The 23,279-nt window shown below is 39.6% G+C and overlaps 1 protein-coding gene across 46 annotated transcripts in view, besides 1 other annotated feature; it reads right to left on the reverse strand.

Moving 5' to 3' along the window:
• The window catches only part of FAM13B (family with sequence similarity 13 member B), a 114,219-nt gene that overhangs the window by 58,000 nt on the left and 32,940 nt on the right, over positions 1–23,279 (reverse strand). For 30 of the 46 annotated variants that reach the window (NR_169822.1, NR_169826.1, NR_169823.1 and 27 more), the window contains 5 exons: positions 22,996–23,187; positions 22,343–22,555; positions 15,809–15,986; positions 15,049–15,190; positions 11,031–11,188 (listed from right to left, as the gene is read on the reverse strand). Coding sequence is in view for 39 of the 46 variants with exons in the window: in XM_006714648.2 (XP_006714711.1) it covers positions 11,031–11,188; positions 15,049–15,190; positions 15,809–15,986; positions 22,343–22,555; positions 22,996–23,152 (848 nt within the window). In the remaining 7 variants the exon portion in view is untranslated. The remainder of the gene's footprint in view (positions 1–11,030; positions 11,189–15,048; positions 15,191–15,808; positions 15,987–22,342; positions 22,556–22,995; positions 23,188–23,279) is intronic. The other 16 variants (NR_169824.1, NR_169815.1, NR_169814.1 and 13 more) reach the window with 4 other exon arrangements.
• Positions 6,770–6,949: a silencer, noted in NCBI's record as "fragment chr5:137338418-137338597 (GRCh37/hg19 assembly coordinates)". NCBI's record gives its function as "represses an EF-1alpha promoter that drives an FKBP-Casp9 reporter gene in an ReSE screen in K562 erythroleukemia cells {active_cell/tissue: K562}" and the evidence as "EXISTENCE:reporter gene assay evidence [ECO:0000049][PMID:32094911]".

A 23,279-nucleotide genomic window follows, 5' to 3' on the forward strand; every position in this document is an offset into this window, starting at 1 on the left:
GAACCTGGATATTGAAAATGTGAACTGATAAAATCTGTCAACTGAAATATTTTGCAAACTGTATGACTCGATGAAAGAAAAGAAAAAAGATACTACTACAGTCCGCATACCCCTCTAGTCAACTGAAGGCATATTTTCTCAGTAGGGGATCCACAGAATGAAGTGGAAACCAGTTTTTTGTTTTTTGTTTTTTTGAGACAGAGTCTTGCACTCTCACCCAGGCTGGAGTGCAGTGGCACAATCTTGGCTCACTGCAAGCTCTGCCTCCCGGGTTCATGCCATTCTCCTGCCTCAGCCTCCCGAACAGCTGGGACTACAGGCGCCGGCCACCACGCCTGGCTAATTTTTTTTTTGTATTTTTAGTAGAGACGGGGTTTCACCACGTTAGCCAGGATGGTCTCGATCTCCTGACCTTGTGATCTGCCCATCTCAGCCTCCCAAAGTGCTGGGATTACAGGCGTGAGCCACGGCGCCTGGCCAGAAACCAGTCTTAAAACCCTAAACCCATGGCTCTTCCTAAATCACTTACACCTTCTTTCCTGCACCTTATCTAAAATTGAACCATCAGAAACCAATGAACTCACAAGAATGAAGCCCTAACATCAGCAACCCACAAAGAGAGTTTCAATTTTTCATCTTTCTTTTTTTTTGGAGATGGAGTCTCACCCTGTCGCCCAGACTGGAGTGCAATGTGCAATCTCAGCTCACTGAAACCTCCACCTTCCGCGTTCAAGCGATTCTCCTGCCTCACCCTCCCGAGTAGCTGGGATTACAGGCGCTCACCAACATGCTCAGCTAATTTTTTGTATCTTTAGTACAGACGGGGTTTCACTATGTTGGCCAGGCTGGTCTCGAACTCCTGATGACCTCGTGATCCACCCTCCTTGGCCTCACAAAGTGCTGGATTACTGGCATGAGCCACTGAGCCCAGCCCAATTTTTCATCTTTCTAAATTGAGTTTTAGGAAGGCATCAGAAGCACAACTTTAAATGAACTTTATAACACGAAGTAATTTTTTTTGGCTTGTGGTTTCTTAAGCATGAGCATAAATTAAAAATTACCTAAACCTCAAGCCAAAATAAACTTTCCCAATACAACACAGGAAAAAGATTACAAAGCACAGGGAAGAAAAGGTAAAAGCTCTTTTAGAACTCTCCTTTCTCTCTTCACATTTTTTAAAGGTAAAAATTCCCCTAAAATTTGTACATTTAAATATAAAGCTAAATGAGGCCAGATGCCGTGGCTCACACCCGTAATCCCAGCACTTTGGGAGGCCGAGGCAGGTGGATCACGAGGCCAGGAGTTCAAGGGCAGCCTGCCCAACATGGTGAAACCCCATCTCTACTAAAATTACAAAAAATTAGCTGGGCCTGGTGGCAGGCACCTGTAATCCCAGCTACTTGGGAGGCTGAGGCAGGAGAATCACTTGAACCCGGGAGGCGGAGGTTGCGGTGAGCTGAGATCGTGCCATTGCACTCCAGCCTGGACAACAAGAGCGAAACTCCATCTCAAAAAATATATATATATATAATATATATAAAGCTAAATGATAAACATGTGGATATAAAACAACAATTTAGAAACAATCTTGAGATTTCCATGGACTTCATGGATAAGAACCTCAGGATCAATCAAACAAAACTACTGCTTTTTCATGCACCCTAGGCTGCTCACACCCCAAACTCCACCATTTTTTCCACTCTGAAGACAGCTTAAATCTTAACAAAACATAGCTAATGACAACTGCAGAAATAACAGATACATGAACAGACCAATCAATACAACTCACAAGCAAACATTTAAACCACTGGTTCTCAAAAAGAGGTCTATAAACCTGAGAGTCTTCAAAACCGTCTATGAAAGAGTTAGAAGTACCTTCATACTGTATGCCTTTTTCACTGTGCTGACATTTGCATGTTTTCAAATTTCTTAAATTGGGAGGCCATCAGGCTGAGATGGCTCCAGTGCCTTGGCTTCCTACATAAGTGAACTGAAACCCAATGTCAACAGTAAGATGACTAATCAAAACCCACCAACTAACCTCTAACTAGGAACTTTCCACTGTATCATATCCAAATAAGGCAAATGCCTACCCAATCAAGTTATTTCTTTACTTCTGCTTTCAGCCTATAAAAGCCCCAATGCTCAGGCTGCTAAAGTGGAGCACTCTGAACCTCCTCTGGTTTTGACTGCTGCCTGATTCATGAATCCTTTAATGCTCAAATAAACTTAAAATTGTTGTTTAAAGTTTTCAACAATGATGATGCAAAATCAATGGTAGAAAAAGCTGCTTGGGGTCTTAGCATAAGTCCAGACAAGTAATACTGTGGCCACTGCATTCTTCCTCACCAGCCACTTGAAACTTTTTAAAAAGGGGCCAGTCCGTGACAGAGAAGCAGAAAACAATGATTAATTTCATCTTACTCCTTGAGTACATTTCTTTTTTAATATTCAGTGTAAAAGGGAAGTACTCATAAAGCACTTCTGCAGCATAACTTACCTTGTTGAGAGCTAAACTAATCACTTTTATTACGGAATACCATTTTTACTTGAAAGACTAACATCTAAACCATGGTTATTAGGACTTGAACACTGGCAGACATTTTCTCAGAAACGACTAAGACTCTAAGAAAAACTGACAATATAAAATTTGAATTTTCAAGCAAAAATCAAAATTCTGGAAAACCTGTATCCTCCTCCATAAGCTCAAAAACACCTGAATACTTAAAGATGCTTCTGATGCAATCAACAGTGATATTAAAGAATGTGAACTTTAACAAATGTGCCAACTATCTGGAAGATTACAGAACTCAGTGAAGCAATCTTTTCCAAATGACCAATATACCATATCCCATCCCCATCATGGTCCTCTTCCCTGGGTCACCGGGGCAGCCCCATCCTTTGAACGGTGGAGGTAGCCACCCCTAGGGCTCACACACTCTGTGCTCTGGTAGAGATGGTGCTGCCTGTTATCACACCAGAGCCATACCTAAAGTGGCAGAAGAGTATGGTACCAGGCATAATGGAATCTTGCCAAGGTCCCCAAGGTCCCCCATCATTGGTGGCCCCTCCTTTGCATTTAGGGCCTCCTCGCAGGCCCTTGCACTCAAGGCCTGTAATTGATTTCTGAATTGCCTTCAGGGTCTTTTTTTTTTTTTGTCTTTTTTTTTTTGAGACAGGGTCCCACTTAGTTGCCCAGGCTGGAGTGCAGTGGCACAATCATGGCTCACTGTAGCCTGGACCTCCCATGCTCAAGCAATCCTCCCACCTCAGCCTCTTGAGTCACTGGGACCACAGCACATGACACTATGCCCAGCTCATTTTAAAAAATTTTCTGGCCAGGCGCAGTGGCTCATGCCTGTAACCCCAGCACTTTGGGAGGCTGAAGTGGGCAGATCATGAGGTCAGGAGTTTGAGACCAGCCTGGCCAACATGGTGAAACCCCATCTCTACTAAAAATACAAAAATTAGCCAGGTGTGGTGGCACGCACCTGTAGTCCCAGCTACTCAGGAGGCTGAGGCAGAAGAATCGCTTGAACCCAGGAGGCGGAGGCTGCAGTGAGCCGAGATCACACCACTGCACTCCAGCCTGGGTGAGTGCAAGACCTTCCAGCCTCTATCCATTACCCAGTTCCAAAGCAACTTCCATATTTTAGGTATTTGTTACAGCAACACCCACTCCTCAGCACCAATTTTCTTAGTCCATTCACATTACTATAACAAAATGCCATACACTAGGAAACAACAGAAATGTATTTCTCACAGTTCTAGAGGCTGAGAAGTCTGAGATCAAGGCAGCAGCAGATTCAGTGTCTGATGAGGGCCCATTGATAGACTTTTCACTGTGTTACCACTGAGTGAAAGGGCTAAGGAGTCTTCTCTCAGGCTTTTTATAAGGGTTCCAGTCTAACTCATGAGGACCCCACCCCCATGGCCTAATAACCTCCCAAAGGCCCCACTTCCTAATACCAAAACTTCCAGATCATAGCAGCAACAGATTAAATGCAGAAGAAAATGTAAGAATCCTTCACGATAGAAATTCAAGAGGTTTGCAAAAATGTAAAACATTGCTACTAAAAAAGTTTAGGGAATTAGAAAACACAATTACTTTTCATTTAAAAAAAATTACACTAATATGTGATAGGTTTATTGTTACTTTAAAACACTAAATAAGGCCCAGTAATCCCAGCACTTTAAGGAGACTAAGGCTGGAGAATCACTTGCGCCTGGGAGCTTGAGACTGGCCTGGGCAACGTAACGAGACCTTGTATTTACAACAAATATAAAATATTAGTCAGGCATGGTGCTGCATGCCTGTAGTCCTAGCTATTCATCAAGCTGAGGTGGGAGGATTGCTTGAGCCTGAAAGGTCAAGGCTGTAGTGAGTCATGATCATGCCACTGCACTCCAGCCTGGGTGACACAGCAAGACCCTGTCTCAAAAAAATAAAAAATTAACTAAATAATTTTTTCTCAGTTTTAATTCCTAATATAAACACCAATAGATATAACAAACTGAAACAAAAGTTCTTTAGGGTGCCCAATAATTTTTAAGTGTGTAAGGGGATTGTATAACCAAAATATCTGAGAAGCATTAACTTAAAACTAATAAAGGAGAAAGACTTTATTAATAAAAATCCACGAGGTCATAAATAGTTACATTTTAGCTACAAACAGAAGCACCCAGGCCGGGAGAGGTGGCTTATGCCTATAATCAATCCCAACACTTTGGGAGGCCGAAGTAGGCAGATCACTTGAAGCCAGGAGTTCGAGACCAGCCTGGCCAACATGGTGAAACCCCATCCCTATTAAGATTACAAAAATTAGTCAGGTGTGGTGGCGCACATCTGTGGACCCAGCTACTTGGGTGGCTGAGGCGCAATAATCCCTTAACTCTGAAAGCAGAGGTTGCAGTGAGCCAAGATTGTGCCACTGCCCTCCAGCCTGGGCGACAGAGCAAGACACTGTCTCAAAAAACAAAAAACAAAAAAAAAAAAAACAGCATCTTTCCAAACTACAACTTGGCAAAGAAATACTCCCTGTAGTTAAATATTCTCAGTTTTTATTTCTAATATGGTAAATACCAATAAGTATAGTCCACATTAACATAAGCTCATTGGAGTCCTCAATAACTTTTTATAAGGGTACTAATGTTTGTGACCAAAAGTTTGAGAAATGCTAACTTAAATCATCCCCCAAGTGTTTATTTCTCTTAGGATTCCAACATACTTTCCTAGGCTACTTCTGAAGAGAAATACAAAGCAGGCTACCTAATATTTCCAATAAATGTTTGCAAATTACTTCATAGGAATACTCAAAAAGATGACATGTTAATTACGAAAAGTTCAATCTCCAGTTTCAAATTCATTAAGAGCTCCCTATATACTAGGCCCTATGCATTCTAGGGAAATTTCTCCCTGACTTTCCTTTCATCCAAGGTAGATAATCAAACAATATATTTTATATTTCTTCTGTCTCAGAACACTGACACATTTGCTATATATGTAATTTTAATCATATTAAATTGAACATTCAAGAAAATTCCATCTTCCTTCTAAAGCTCCATTTATTCAACAAGTAATACTTTACTGAGTGCCTATTCTGTAGCAGGCACTATCCTAAGTGTTATAAATACATAAGTAAACATAATCCTGCTGTCTCATGGTTTACTTTCTAGTGATGGAAGACAGACAATAACAATAATACATGTATGTTAGATGGTTATAACAGTTATGAACAAAACAGAACAGGGTAAGGGAGATCAAGAATGGAGGATGAGGAGGTTATCACTGATACAGTGACATTTGAGCAAAGAATTGAACATACTGAGAGAACCATGCAGCTATCTAGTGGCACATCTATCCATATAGAAGAACAGTCCAGTGCAAAGGCTCAAGTAGAACATGACTGGTGAATTAAAGAATTTTGTTATGGCCAAAGGAGAATGACCAAAGAGAGAGCAGGCAAGAGATAAAGGAAAAACGGGTACAGCAGTTAGAGGTGGGATGGGGCAGACTATGTATGCAGAACCTTACAGGCCATTTAAGAATTTTGGCTCCTTCAATAGAGAGACATTAAAGGGATTTAACCAAAGGAATGAAACGCTCTTACCTCTCTGAAGAGTTCAGAGAAAAATAATATAATAAATGATCTTAGTTTTTAAAACAACAGACATGTTATACTAATGAAATCAGCTAGACTCAGCAAAGTACTTTTATAATTTTTAAGAAACAAGAATAAAAAGCTTAAGTGGATTGCTGGGGATTAGAAATAATATACTTCAATGGAAGTTGGGTGCAGTGGCTCACACCTGTTATCCCAACACTTTGAAAGGCCGAGACGGGTGGATCACTAGAGATCAGGAGTTCAAGAGACCAGCCTGGCCAATGTGGTGAAACCTTGTCTCTACTAAAAATACAAAACTTAGCCAGGCATGGTGGTGGGCGCCTGTAATCCCAGCTACTCAGGAGACTGAGGCAGTAGAATTGAGAACCCAGGAGGCAGAGGTTGCAGTGAGCCGAGATCACGCTACTGCACTCCAGCCCAGCCTGGGCAACAGAGTGAAACTCCATGTGAAAACAAACAAAAAACAAACAGATATCCTTGTTTAGCAGAGAGACATGCAAAAATAAATATCTCTAAAAATATATTTAAAAACCCTAATCATTCTTTCTGAAAGGCTGATCAAACAAATCTGTTCCCTCTATTTTTTTTTTTTTTTTTTTGAGACAGAATCTCACTTTGTCACCCAGGCTGGAGTGCAGGGGCGACATCTCGGCTCACTGCAAGCTCTGCCTCCCGGGTTCACGCCATTCTCCTGCCTCAGCCTCCCGAGTAGCTGGGAATACAGGTGCCCGCCACCACACCCGGCTAATTTTTTTTTTTTTTTGTATTTTTAGTAGAGACGGGGTTTCACCATGTTAGCCAGGATGGTCTCGATCTCCTGACCTCGTGATCTGCCTGCCTCAGCCTCCCAAAGTGCTGGGATTACAGGTGTGAGCCACCGCGCCGGGCCTGTTCCCTCTAACTAGCTGTGTGCTTCATTCCACTTCAATTTTTCATTTGCTTATCTCTCATTAAGCACTTATGAAATGGCATGCATTTTTATTTACTTTTAATTTCATAGAGGACACACCTATAAACAACTTCAATCTTTAGCCTCTATCTCAAGCAGTAATAACAACCGTAAAAATAAGTTGCCAAATGAATGTAAAACTAGGTAATTTATAAAAATTTTTTAATATGAGCATCTTTAATAACAAATAGAATATAAATTGACCACAGTCTAGAAGGTACTACACACCGTGGATATTTTTACTTTCAAGAGAAGAGTTAAATTATTAACATTTTCATAAATAAATAAATGTCAACTAAAAAAACAGCAGGTACCTCTACTCTCATGACATGTAAAGGGTTTTATTTACCTGAAAAGTACTATAATGAAGCAATAGATACCACCAAAAAAGTAGTCATGGGTACTTTTTAATCTTTATACACTTTATCAGCCAAAACTAAAATAAAAAGGAAATGTATAGATATTAACCGAAACACATAAATATTACTAAATCTAGAAGACCACAATGGTAGACATATCTGTTTCTGCTGCCTAATATCCCTACCCCAACATTTTGGTAATAGCCCTGTTTTCCCATGGGAAACTAGCTCCTCCCTCCATCCCGCACCGTCCTCAGAGACACATAAATCACAATGACCAGTTCCACGCTGGCCATGGGAATAGAGACACCTAACTAAATTTAGGGCAGACCCTCTCCCGACCACCCCACAGCTATGTGCTCCAAAGCAGAATAACAGACAGACGGAGGCAGTCAGAACTCTCACAGCAATAGCCACATGCTGAAGAGATTATTACATGCCTCTGTGTTTCTAAATTTCACAGAGCTGCCCATGTTCTTATCTTTGCATTTCGATTTGACTGTAGCCCAGAATCCTTCTTATTAATAAACTGCTTTTTCTATACTTTAACCAGAATCTGTTCCTAGGAGCTGCAATTAAAGAATCCTAACAACTGGCCAGGCGTGGTAGCTCACACCTGTAATCCCAGCACTTTGGGAGGCTGAGGTGGGCAGATCACCTGAAGTCAGGAGTTTGAGACCAGCCTGGCCAACATGGTGAAATCCCGTCTCTACTAAAAATACAAAAATTAGCCAGCCACGGTGGTGCGGGCCTGTAATCCCAGCTAATCGGGAGGCTGAGGCCAGAGAATCGCTTGAACTCAGGAGGTGGAGGATGCAGTGAGCCGAGATCACACCACTGCACTCCAGCCTGGGCAACAGAGCGCAACTCCATCTCAAAAAAAAAAACAAAACTGACAACCACTAAATCTCCAATGACTGTGTTGGAGCAAAGGAGGATCCTCTACAAAACCAGACAGATGATCGAAGAGAAGCTATTAGTAATATGTATTTGAAACCATACTTAGCCTTGCTGGTAATTACATAAATAAAAATACTTAATGAATTCACTTGTCTAAATCAGCACTGTCCAAAAGAAATTCTACAATGATAGAAATGTTCTATATCTGCACTGCCCAACATGATAGTCACTTGCCACACGTGTGGCTACTGAGCACTTGAAATGTAGGTGGCACAAATATGGAAGGAATTTTAAAATTTTATTTAATTTCAGTTCGTTTAAGTTTACATTTAAATACACACAAGTGGCCGGGCACAGTGGCTCACACCTGTAAGCCCAGGAGCTCAAGGCCACCTTGGGTGACATGCCGAAACCCCATCTCTACAAAACATACAAAACCTAGCTGGGCATGGTAGCGAGCACCTGTGGTCCCAGCTACACAGGAGGCTGAGGCAGGACTGCTTGAGCCCAAGAGGTAGAGGCTATACATGAGCTGTGATTGTGCCACTGCACTCCAGACTGGATGACAGAGCGAGAGACCCTGTCATTAAATAATAATAAATACACAGAAGGAGCTAATGGCCACCTTATTGGAGAGCAGAGCTCTAAATTAACAAAATTAGAGGCCGGGTGCAGTGGCTCACTCCTGCAATCCCAGCACTCTGGGAGGCCAAGGCAAGCGGATCACTTGAGGCCAGGAGTTTGAGACCAGCCTGGGCAACATGGTGAAACTCCATCTCTCCTAAAATACAAAAGTTAGCTGGGCATGGTGATGCGTGCCTATAGTCTCAGCTACTTGGGAAGCTAAGGCATGAGAATCACTTGAACCCGGGAGACAGAGGTTGCAGTGAGCCGAGATTGTGCCATTGCACTCCTGCCTGGGTGACAGGGTGAGACTCTGGTCTCAAAAAATAGTAATAAATTAATTAATTAACAAAATTTAAAACACCCATTTAAATCTATTGCTGTAAGGTCCTCAAGAAAATACTGTTAATGACAGTGTAAACTGGGTCACGTCCTTTAAGCAGTCTGGAAATATTTATCAAAAGCCAGAGAAAGGTTCACTCTTCAATTCCAGTAAATGTATCCAAATAATTTAGAAGGAGGAAAAAAGGGCCAAACAACAAAGGTATTTTTTTTTTTTAGTAGCAGTACAGTACTGACAAGCTAGCTGAAACAACTCAAAATATCAAGAAAAAAGAATGTTAGAATACAGTTAAATATCTGAACATATAGATAATATTTTAATATATAATTAAAATACAGTTAAGAAACCATCAAAAAATAAATTAGAAGGTCATGTAAACACACATAAAAGCAAAAACAGAATGTTAAATCGGGCAACAGAGAGAATAAACATGTTAATATAACAGAATTATGATCCTGTTTGAAGAAACCATAGATAATATAAAGATCCAGAGGCCTACAGAGAAATGTAATAATTGTGTTTAGCAGCATTTAAAATTACTTCATAATTTTCCTAAATGGCAATAGATAGCTCTTCCCTTAGATATTACCAGTTACTTTTAAATGACATTTTGCTTTCTGACTCAAATTATTATTTCCTCTTCTTTTTTTTTTTTTTGAGACGGAGTTTTGCTCTGTCGCCCAGGCTGGAGTGCAGTGGCGCGATCTCGACTCACTGCAAGCTCCGCCTCCCGGGTTCATGCCATTCTCCTGCCTCAGCCTCCCGTGTAGCTGGGACTACAGGCGCGCGCCACCATGCCCGGCTAATTTTTGTATTTTTAGTAGAGACGGGGTTTCACCGTGTTAGCCAGGATGGTCTCGATCTCCTGACCTCATGATCTGCCCGTCTCGGCCTCCCAAAGTGCTGAGATTACAGGCGTCAGCCACCGCGCCCGGCCTATTTCCTCTTCTTTTTAACCACCCTTCCACTGAACACAAATTAAATGAAAAATATCTAGTGGACTAAATATATAGCTGGATCCTCCTAAGTAGAAAGGGTTAGTAAACCATGGAGCTTTACGGAGAACGAGCATAGAATTTAGCAGACCTAAAGATACATATGGGGAGTATGACAATGTAAACTGGGTTACATCCTTTAAGTAGTCTGGAAATATTTATCAAAAGCCACAGAAAGGTTCACTCTTTCTCTTGAGTTCTCTAAAGCTTCCTAAATAGTGTGCCCAGTGGTCCCAGCTATGTGCTGGGATAGGGTCTTCAGCCTACCACATTTATCGAATTTACCCAGCATGCCATGTAAATATTATCATTTTGTACATGAAAAGAATTGGAAAGCACTATCTTAATGGATCAGAGTTCCATCCTTACAGCCTAGTTACAACTAATTGTAGCCTGGAAACGGGATATACAAGTCAATTCAGTCACTGTATCCTTCTCTAACGATGCTACTTCCAGAGGTTCTGAAATTTTATCCAGCCCAATTAATAAGCTAATACAAAACCAACTTTAACAAGAAATATTTGTAAGAAGTTATGTTTTTGAAAAAAGGTATTAACACTAATAACTGAAAATTCCTTAGCAAGACTGCATCTTTAAATTTTACTTCTTGCTCTTTTTCACACACAAATGCCAAACTTTCACATATAGTTACAGTTTGTGTTTCTGAATGCTGGAGTGAGTTTACACTTAGAATGAAATACTCAAAAGCTAAAGTTCATTCAACTGAGCTATTACCTTGTTGCCGTAACACTATTTGATTCCAGGATGTTTTCAGTCATCCTTAATTGTACCACCTCTGGCATGTCATTTGATTTTTCTGCACCCTCTTCTGGAAGTTCTTCAATATGTTCCAGCTTTTCATCTTCCTCTTCTTCCTCAGAAAGTTCATTAACCTATATAAATAAAAAGAAATTCAGAATTAAAATGTAATGAAACCGTTAACACATCTAAGACATACTATTCTATGAAAATTTTAAACACAAACAACTCATTTTTATTTCCTCATTTCCTAGGACCAATCTCTCTTATGGAGTAAGTAACTGTCAACTTTTTCATATCAAAATAAAATTGCAACCAGACAAATGTAACATTTTGAAGCAGGATTAGTGTATCACTAGTTGCAAATTAGTATATTAGTATATTGCAAAATTAGTATATCTAGGAATATAAGTAAGCCTGTAAGGTATAGTTAACATTAAGAAAACTTAATTTTCTAACTAGTTTCGTAAATGTAACACTTACAACAGACTTTTAATTGATCTGATTTTCCAGGTGCCTTAAACAAGTCATTTTAATATAGTAAGTGTGAAAAAAGAAGCGCAAAAAAAATGTTGCCTTAAGATGTTAGCTACATTTTAGAAAATGTCAGCTAACTTCTAAGTGATTCAGATTGAATTATTCATGAAGAGATGGAATCCTATAACAAGGAAGAACTCATATTTTGACCAGTAAGCACAAGTCAAGGTTATAATTATCTTGCTAGCAGGAGCTCTAAAATGTCCTCCATTATGAAACTGGCTACGTAGGTAATCACTCTAATAAAAAGATACTGAAATATTAGAGAAGGAAAACCAGCAAAATATTTTCAAATGAGTTTTTAAGTTATCCCAAAGAAGAAACTATCTATAGAATTGCTTAATATAAACTAATACTAGTCATTAAAGACTCTGAGCAATGCAAGTATGCTTTTTCTCCATGCTAGAAAAATGCAATAGAAATATCTAGAATAAATGTGTTTACTACTACATGTAACAGTGGTGTTTTTCCTGATGGACAAATACAGTTACTAGAATACTATCAGAAAGTAAAACTGCAACCAAAAGAAAAGTCATTACACTGTGATATTCTATCACACTCCTAATCAACAAGTACAGAGTGCCTATTTTAAAGTATAATACAGGTTGGGTATGGTCGGTGGCTCACACCTATAATCCCAGCACTTTTGAGAGGCTGAGGGGGTTGGAACCCTTGAACCCAGGAGTTCCAGACCAGCCTGGGCAACGTGGTGAAACCTTGTCTCTACAAAAAAATACAAAAATTAGCCAGGCATGGTGGCATGTGCTTGTAGTCCCAGCTACTTGAGAGACTGAGGTAGGAGAATCACTTGGGCCCAGGAGGTCGGGGCTGCAGAGAGACGCGATTGTGACACTGCACTCCAACTTGGGTGACAGAGTAAGATTTGGTTTCGAAATTAAATAAAGTATAATACAGTAGTTAAAAGCTAGGCCTCAGAGGCAGAAATACCTATATTCACACATCCCTACTTGTCCCTAACTTTCTCTGGCAACTTACTTAACTTGTCCAAGTCTTAAGTATAAAATGGAGATGCTATACTAACTACCTCACAGAGCTGGTTGAAAGGATTAATATATGTAACCTCTTCAGCAATGTCTATACATAATAAGCAATAATGCCTATCATTATAACTGAAATTGTTGTCATTTCTTTAATAGCATAGATCCTAGCTTCTACATGTAACATCACTTTTTATATAAATGAAGAGAGTATCCACCATCCAAACTACCTAAAGCAGGAGGTCTCAACCACAGGTCTATCAAGCTCACTAGTCAGATGGGTCACTAAAAAGTCATTATTAACAATAGTTAGGCCAGGCGCGGTGGCCCATGCCTTTAATCCCAGAACTTTGGGAGGCCAAGGTGGGTGGATCACTTGAGGGCAGAAGATCGAGACCAGCCTGGCCAACATGGCAAAATCCAACCTATACTAAAAATACAAAAATTAGCCGGATGTGGTGGCATGTGCCCGTAATCCCAGCTACTTGGAAGGCTGAAACAGAATTGCCTGAACCCAGGAGGCAGAGGTTGCAGTGAGCCAAGATCGCACCACTGCACTCCAGCCTGGGAAACACAGCAAGACTTTGTCTCAAAAACAAAAACAAAAATAAAAACAAAACAGTTAGTGAACCATTAAGTTCACATGTAAAGTACATGCAGCAGATTCTGTATAATTCGTTGTGTTTATAAATGTCTTTCCTAGTCTATCCCACATCATGTATAATGCTAATGAAAAGGACTGAAAAATCACTGGCCTAAGTGATTAACTGAGAGGTAAGATTTCAACACAAAGGTGAAAATCTCAAATGATAGATCAGGTTTTAAAGTAGATCTAATGGGAAATTATCCTCTTTCCCCATCTACGTATTTTATTAACTAGTGAAAGTTGAGAGGATGTACTTAATATCCATCTGGTAATCTAAGCAAGGAAACACTGGCCAAAAAAAAAAAAAGTTTTCAGAAGTATAAAAGGGGACCAGGTGCAGTGGCTCATGCTTGTAACCCCAGCACTTTGGGAGGTAGAGGTGGGTGGATCACCCGAGGCCTGGAGTTCGAGACGAGTCTGGCCAACATGGCGAAAGCCTGTCTCTACTAAAAATACAAAAATTAGCCAGGCATGGTGGCGAGCGCCTGTCATCCCAGCTACTCGAGAGGCTGGGGCAGGAGAATTGCTTGAACCTGGGAGACAGGGGTTGCAGTGAGCCAAGATCACACCATTGCACTCCAGCTTGGGCGACAGAGCGAGACTGTCTCAAAAAAAAAAAAAAAAAAAGGGTTGGGGCAGGGGTGGGAATTATTGTGGTTGATTAATAAAAGCCTGGGCACAACAGCAAAATATCAAAAAAAATTTTTAAAGAAGGCTTTTAAAACTGAGAATAAAAACTTATTCAGTTCACACCTTTTTGGTACAGAGATACTATTATTTCAACATTTTTGTTTGTTTGTTTTTAAGATGGAGTCTTGCTCTGTCGGTCAGGCTGAAGTGCAGTGCTACGATCTTGGCTCACTGCAACCTCCGCCTCCCAGGTTCAAGCAATTCTCCTGCCTCAGCCTCTCCAGTAGCTGGGATTACAGGCACATGCCCCTATGCCTGGCTAATTTTTATATTTTTAGTACAGACAGTGTTTCACCATGTTGGCCGGGCTGGTCTCAAACCCCTGACCTCAGCTGATCCACCCACCTCAGCCTCCCACAGTGCTGGGATTACAGGCATGAGCCACCACGCCTGGCCTATTTTAACATGTTATATCACACTTTTTAAAATCATTTTGTGGGGCCAGGTGTGGTGGCTAACACCTGTAATACCAACACTTTGGAAGGCCAAGGCAGGAGGACTGCTTGAGGCCAAGAGTTCAAGACCAACCTGGGCGACATAAGAAGACCCTGTCTCTATAAATAATAAAACAATTTTTTAAAAGATTATAATGTAACCTCAGAAAGAGATTTTAATATTCTAGAGTCACCAGAATTTAAAAATTACCTGCCACTTAAACTATTAATATCCAGATGCTTCCCATTAGTGACAATTATACTATTGTGTTGATTTGCTCTATTATTGAAGAAAAACTTCAAATTTTTAAAAATGTGTACCGAATCTTTCCCTCTACTTTAAATTTCTCACCCCTTGCCTATATTCCTCTATGCTAGCAGTTTCTCTGCAAAAAACCAAAACACTGCATTATCCTTACAAAATAAACAATAGGAAAAGAAACAAAAAATCTCTACCATATACTCTAATTTTAATGCCTTTTCCTTATTAATCAAATTATGGAGGACAGGATGTTGTTCAGGAAAAAAATCATGAATGTGCCACCTACTGATTACATATAATAACCAAGATAATTACTTCCAGGTCAGATTTAAATTCCACTTATGTCTGTGGCAAGTCTTTAAGAGCATATTATTCTTAAAAAAAAAAAAAAAAAAAAAAATTATCCCTCCAAATAGAATATTCTCACCTGTTCAGTAATTGAACTCAAATCATTAGATGAAAAATCTTCCTCTTCATTCTCAAAAAACTCATAGTAGTTTTCCAGAAGTCCAGCCATTATCCTGCTCACTATTTCTTGCTCTTTCATGTCTTCCACATCTGTGTAAATGCTAAGAATAGAAGTCCAAATTGAATTGAGAGTTCTTAAATCAATCACAGGTAAAGGTAGAAGACAACCAATGAGATACTTTATGAACATGGGCAATTTATGTTACCATTCTGTGCTTCCATTCTCCCATCTGTAAAACCTACCTAATTTGTACCCTGTTCACAAAAATGCTGTAAGAATTAATCATATCTACTATAAAAAATAATTGTTCATCAAGCAACCTGCGATCCTTGGGAGACAATATAATGATTCCATTTCACATATCTAATTTTTCTTTTTTTTTTTTATGAGATGGAGTCTCGCTCTGTCACCCAGGCTGGAGTGCATTGGCGCGATCTCGGCTCACTGCAAGCTCCGCCTCCCCGGGTTCACGCCATTCTCCTGTCTCAGCCTCCCGAGCAGCTGGGACTACAGGCACCCGCCACCATGCCCAGCTAGTTTTTTTATTTTTAGTAGAGACGGGGTTTCACCGTGTTAGCCAGGATGGTCTCAATCTCCTGACCTTGTGATCCGCCCGCATCAGCCTCCCAAAGTGCTGGGATTACAGGCATGAGCCACCGTGCCCGGCCTCACATATCTAATTTTTAAAAATTAAACAAAAATTTTTTAAACAACTTACTGGAAGACATCTGGACCAAAGACAGCAGCCAAAGAATTTGCGGACCAAATTTCTTCATGATGTGATGCTACATTGGCTAAAAATCTACACAGAAACTTTAACAAACTATAATTAACAGGTGGAAGCTGTTGCAAGAGGAACCTCAACTTTCTTCCAAATTCATCTTCATTATTATAATCTATAAAACAATAATAACAGGTTTTTTTCAATAAAGGAAAAAGCAAAGCTCTGATATTTTGCCAGGTTCACATTACTCCACCCACATCACCTTTTTAATACAACAATTCAAAACCTCTTCACTTCCTCTACTGGGGCCAAATGCCTTAGGGCTTTGTATTTCACTTATGAAATGGAGAAGAGGTGGAGAAGAGGAGCTGGAAAAAAGGAACTCAATCCCTTAATTGCTGGAGGATGTTTTCCTCATCTATTACTCATTGGCCCCAATTCTCTTTTTTTTTTTTTTTTTTTTTTAATTCTCATCCTACTGTCTCCAGCATGACTGTACCTGTGTTTCCACACTAGTGCCAACTATAAGAAGTCAAAATGCACTGGCCATGCCAGACAATACAAACCACTAGTGAGCAAAGCAGAGATGCAATTTGAGGGGCTAATAGTATCAGTGATACCTTTCAGCTTAGATGAAAGTAAAAAGAAGGAAAGAAAAAGGTAACAGTGTGATTTTCTTCTCCTGGCGTCCTAAAATAAACAATTAACTTCAGCAATATCAGTATAACTAAATTAAAAGGTCTTTCATTTCTCGTCTGTTTTTCTCCTCTAAATTCATGTTGGTTTCTGCTTATCAAGTAAACTTTATCACACAAGTTAGGCCTTGTATTTATCGTGTCAATGAGTTTTCATTAACAGAAACTAGACCCGTATTCATTCCACTAATTGGTGAGGATCCCATTTGGGAGAAATAAGTGCTCAGAGGTCCTCTCGAAATGAAGTGATTTATTGTGCTACATGAGTAAAAATCAATTAAATTATGTTTCATTTTGTATTTTTCCGCAGGTTCTTAAAATTATTTTACTGAAAAACTCCTGGTAAAAGGTTACGGTCATGATATTAACTATCTCTGCAAAATAACACTAGTCTAAAAAGTTTATCAGGAAATAGGACTCCAGTACTATGTTGATTCAAAAAAAAAAAAATTTGGCCTTGTATGGTGGCTCATGCCTGTAATCCCAGCACTTTGAGAGGCTGAGACAGGCGCATCACCTGAGCTCAGGAGTTCGAGTCCAGCCTGGGCAACATCACGAAACCCCGTTCTACCAAAAATACAAAAATTAGCTGAGTGTACTGGCACACACATGTGCTCCCAGCTACTCAGGAGGCTGAGGTGAGAGGATGGCTTGAGCCTGGGAGGCAGTGGTTGCAGTAAGCCGAGATCGTGCCACTGCACTTCAGCCTGGGTGACAGAGTGAGACCCTGTCTCAAAAAGAAAAAAAAAAAGGCTGGGCGCGGTGGCTCACGCCTGTAATCCCAGCACTTTGGGAGGCCGAGACAGGTGGATCATAAGGTCAGGAGATCGAGACCATCCTGGCTAACACAGTGAAATCCCATCTCTACTAAAAATACAAAAAATTAGCTGGGTGTGTTGGCGGGTGCCTGTAGTCCCAGCTACTCAGGAGACTGAGGCAGGAGAATGGCGTGAACCCAGGAGGCAGAGCTTGCAGTGAGCCGAGATTGCACCACTGCACTCCAGCCTGGGGGACAGAGCAAGACTCCATCTCCAAAAAAAAAAAAAAAATTTTAAGTTTATCAGGAAAGGCTACAGTCACATGAGTTTTACTTAAAATTTAAAATGCAACCAATAACAACTCTTCTATACTTTGTAATATTACCAGCTGTCCATTCAAATGTACCAGTACTTCAATTTTAAAATCAGACAGAATAGTCCCTGGATTAATGTTTAAATCACTGGACCTATAACTGATGAGAAATTTTAACAACCTAAGCATTCAGCAGAAAATTATTATAGAAATCACATATCAAAAATGCAAGCACTTAATATTATCAATATAATGAAGATACCAACACTTGACAAATTCTACCTAACATTCTCTCCAGCTCTGTGGCACTTAATGTCTAGCATACCTATCCATATGTTTATTTTTATCATCTACTTTACCATCTTCCCTTATCCCCTATAGCATTTTAGTTCTGTGAGCGCAGAGATATTTTTTTCTTTGAGACAGGCTGTCGCTCCAGGCTGGAGTGCAGTGGCATGATCACTGAGGCCCACCACAGCCTCAACCTCCCAGGCCCAAGCGATCCTCCCACGTCAACTTCCTAGGTAACTAGAACCACAAGCAAATGCCACCACAGCTGGCTATTTTTTGAAGTTTCTGTAACAACAGGGTCTCCCTATGTTGCCCAGACTGGTCTAGAACTCCTAGGCTCAAGTGATCCTCCCGCCTCAGCCTCCCAAAGTGCTGGGATTACAGGCGTGAGTCCCCACGCCCAGCCATGAGGGCAGAGATTTTCATCTAGTTTTTTTCAGTGCTGAGTTCTCAGTATCTGGAGCAAGGGTCCCCAGCCGGGGCTGCAGACCAGTCTGTGGCCTGTTAGGAACTGGGCCATACAGCAGGAGGTGAGCAGCAAGTCAGATCAGTGGCGGCATTAGATTCTCATAGGAGCAAGAATGCTACTGTGAACTATGCATGCAAGGGATCTAGATGTACATTCTTTATGAGAATCTGATGCCTAATGATCTGAGTTGGAACAGTTTCATCCCAAAACCATTCCTCCTCTCCATCAGTGGAAAAACTGTCTTCCACAAAACCAGTCCCTGGTGTCAAAAAGGTTGGGGATTGCTGATCTAGAGCACTGCCTAGCACACAGCAGATGTTCAATAAACATTAGTTGAATTCACTGAATGAATACACAATAACTGAAAAAAGATGTTGAACATACTACACCATTTGACTTGAGGTGGTAAGCTTGTGGGCAATACTGTTTTTATTTGAAATACTATCCACATTATCCAAAGTTTTGTTTGGCTACATTTCCTCTACACATTTGTACCTATACTGGCCTGTGTCTGAAGTCTTCAAATAAGGCAGAGAAGCATTTCAAAATACATTAAATATATACATACTTGCTTAAATTTCTTTCCTTTGGAGTCTAATTTCTAGTTAAATCATATCCAAGGAAAATAATGTATGTATCAGAGAAGTTTCCCCTAACAATTCCTTCAAGTACTGTAACATTTTTTGGAAATGTTCTAACTAATCCACAAAACTGCTAGCTATGTTTTCTATCAAAACACAATGTATAAGCAGTTGGACTAACCATTATGGTCTAACCCAGAAGTTGTCAACATCTGACAATGAACGGTTGTCATGACTTTGGGGAAGACAGTGCCTTTGGTAGAGGTCAGGGATGCTGCTAAACATCCTAAGGTACACAACTCCCCATCACAAAAAATTATCAAGCCCAAAATCAACAGTACCAAGGCTGTGAAACCCTAGTCTAAATAAAAGGTTTAACCACACCAGTGGATGCACTGTCCAGCTACCACAGAAAAATGAAACCACTTTTTAAAAACAAAAGCTGAAATGCAACTGCAACAGTGCTTCTTCCATGATCTTAAAAGCAATTAACTGTCATGTATTTGTGAATATTAAAATATTATCATATTATTTATCTACAGCTGGGTGCCATGGCTCATGCCTGTAATTCCAGCACTCTGGGAGGCCAAGGTGGGCAGATCACTTGAGGTCAGGAGTTCGAGATCAGCCTGGCCAACATGGTGAAACCCCATCTCTACTAAAAATACAAAAAGTAGCTGGGTATGGTAGCACACACCTGTAGTCCCTGCTACTCAGGAGGCTGAAGCATGAGAATCACTTGAACCTGGGAGGCAGAGGTTGCAGTGGGCCAAGATGGTCCCACTGCACTCCAGCCTGGGTGACAGAGCAAGACTCTGTCTCAAAGAATAAAAGAAACAAACAAAATTATCTACAGTAAATGAAGAGAGGAAACTTTGTTCAGAGATCTAGACACCTTCCCAAAATAACTAAATGAATGAATGATCAGATGATATTACAACATAAATGCAAATATCACCCCAAATACTACCATACCTAGCTGCACAGCTATTAAAGAAACGGGTGTATATGTGCACACATACATACACATGCTAATGATTATCTATGTATAAGTGGAAAATAGAAGAAAACAGTGAATTTCTCATATTAAACATGAAAGCACTTATTGACCATAAGCATTTTTGCTTTTTTTTGCACATCTCTTTTGCAAATTTTTGCATATCTTAAATTCCTTCACAAGTGAATGTTAGCATAAGAATAAGTAACAAGATGCGTATTGTAATTCCATGAATATCAACACAGTACATGGTGCTGTCATAATTTTAAATGAAAACCAGGCCATGGCTAAGACTGAAACTTTTTCAAATAGGGTAAATGCGCAATTTTTGAAAGAAAAGAAGGGGTAGGATTGGTTTACAATTTATGACCAGAAAGTTGTGTCTTTGAAGAGGAACTTAGTTGTCCCAACAGTACATGATGCTGTCATAATTTTAAATGAAAACCAGGCCAGGTACAATGGCTCACTCCTATAATCCCAGTGCTTTGGGAAACTGAGACAGTTTGGGAAACTGAGACAGGAGGATCACTTGAGCTCAGGAGTTCAAGACCTGCTTGGGCAACATAGCAAGATCTTGTCTCTACAAAACATAAAAAATTTTAAAAAATTAGCCAGGCATGGTGGTGCGCGCCTGTAGTCCCAGCTACTCAAGAGGCTGAGGCGAGAGGATCACTTGAGCCCTGGAGATCAAGACTGTAGTGAACTAGGATCACACCACTGCACTCCAGCCTGGGCGACAGAGCAAGGACATTTCAAAAAAACAACAACAACGAATAAATGAAAACCAACTGAAATGACAATCCTAGTGAAAAATAAATAGCTTCTGATAGATTCTACCAGTGAGTCAATGACTTTGCTTCCATTAAATCTCACTGCAATTATTAATTTATAAATTTTCATTCAGGACTGAAAGATTATCTGACTCTTGGAACTTTAAATATGTGTCTGCAATTCAGCTAACAGAGGGAACATGGAAACCTATCACTATAAAGAGAATGGCTCTAGAGTTATTTTAAAAGGCTCAAAAAACCTTTACCATATTGGTTTCGGTTCATATTTAATAAATGCAAAATGCTTATTATGTGTCTCAACATAAACATTTGAAAAAATTCCTGTAATAATAAAATGGATTCAAAAATTCAAAACAAAAAAGCGTAATTTTGGGGGGAGAAAAATTAAAGTGATGCATTGAAAAAAGGGTAGCCTTACTAATAACATTTCGTTTTAAAACCTGTTTTTTGATCCAGATTATAGAGTAAAAGAACAGAACTGAATCAGGTTACCCCTTCCTGAATATAGCAAGTTCAAAGTAAGCCTTATGATTTAGCTGTACAGAAAACATGTGTAAGAGGGTCACAGAACGTCTTTGCATTGACCTTTATACATAAATCAAAGACATCCAACTAACTTAGGCTCACAGTTTAAAATTTAAGAAAAAGACGGATAAACACTTTCGAAAGAAAATATACCTTCTCTGACAACATAATACTTAAGGATATATACACACATATTATAGAATGCCCAGCTGTGATAGAGATAGGCATAAAGGAAGTAGTTATAATTTCTTAGCATAACTGAATTTCTTTAGAAGCCCCGATTCAAAAAATAAATGAACTCCATAATACCAAAAAAGCCTGAAAGGGTAATTTTAAAATTCAAGAAATATATAACTCTATATGCCAACTTTACACATTTTCCTATATAATGAAGCATGTCCCTCCATTACATATACATGAATACCATTTGGCTCTAGGAACAGAAGCATTTCCTCACTTCTTGGTTCTTTGACCTTTCTGCTGCCTCTACCATTATTTTTCCTGTTCCTGTTCCACTCTAGCTAAGCACTACTTTTTAGTCACCACCAAAAAAACCTAACAAAGATACATCTTTTTTTGTTTCTTTAGCTTAGAGTCTAATGTTCAATTTGATATTCATTTCCTTTAGCTAAGTGTTCAAGAACAAGTTTTAGGTATATTCAAAGCCTAGAATCAAAGTTGTCTTCTTCCTTTTGCTAGGAAATTCTATCAAACCAGGGATAAGTAACCCTAATAGTGGTAATATCACCACTAAGCAACACCTTTGGCTACTATTGGACATTGTGCCACCACACACATTACCTTACATAAATTTCTCTTCTTTCTTTTTGATGACCCCTCCTACTCCTTGTTCTTGTCTCCTCCCTTTCCTCTTCTTCACCCTGTTTCTTAGGCTAATAAAACCAATCACAAAAAGTAAATAGTACTAGAGGGATCCCGGAAGTTGCCTTTCCTATGACAAGATCATACAACCCCAAAAAGCAAATGAGAAAATAACAAATTAATCTCTAAAATACTATACTTACTGTTTACATGTCAAGATTTCTAAAAGGTAAAGACTAGGAAATTAACAACAAATGACCAATTGATAAGTATCAAATTATGTTACCTTGAGAAAGCTGCATCAAGTGAATATGTAAACTGCCAGGGATAACAGGTTCAGGAAGTTCTTGAAGAAAAAATCTAAGAAGGCTAATAGCTGAGGGAACATCTGCTTCCTTAACCAAATCCACCTCTTCTCCGCTGTCGTATCTCTGCCGAAGCCACTCCACTGTCTCAGCATTTCCATTGACTTGAAAAAGTCCTTGTTGCTCCAGACCTCCTACGTTAGTTCAAGGCAATCATTCAATAAGCTGCAATGTCAACTGCTTGACCATATATATTCATTCTCCAATTAACTTAAAATACTCATACTTTTGGAAAGCCTTTCTTGGCTCCCCTGACTTGTCTAAAAACCTTCAAATTATACATCTAGAAACATACTATCTCTGTTCTAAGGGATATTCTATTTTATCCCACCCCTTATATCCATTAAAAATATTCCTATCACCCCCACTAAAACTTGTTCTAGGCTGGGCAACTGTCATTTCTAAGTATATGAATTTAAGTAAAAATCACACTAAAACATTAAAAAGAATTTCTAGTTTTTCCTATGTTTTGGACTTTCCATATTAAAAAAAAAAATTAAAAATCCAAGGTCAAAAAGGTGTAAGTTGTGTTTATTAAAACAAAAGCTAGCCCTCAAAGTAAGGAAATGTATACCATGTTCCTCAATATAGTCCACAACGTGGCGGACTATGAATGGAACCTCATTGTCTGGATGTCCTCCCTGCTGCAGCTCATCAAGTGGAATTCCAAATATTTTGTTAGCAAGAACGGAGTTGCAGTTACTCAAGGAAGGGGAGGAGCTCTTCCTCATATCTTTTTTGCAGCCAGAAATCAAAGCTGTCTTTTCTGCCAAATGAAAGACAAAAAAAAAAGACTATAATGATTAACAGGTGGCAATATGACTAGATACATTAAAGAAAAATGCTTTACACCTGAAT

This window comes from Homo sapiens, chromosome 5 (genome assembly GCF_000001405.40).
Source record: "Homo sapiens chromosome 5, GRCh38.p14 Primary Assembly".
Classification (NCBI taxonomy): domain Eukaryota; kingdom Metazoa; phylum Chordata; class Mammalia; order Primates; family Hominidae; genus Homo; species Homo sapiens.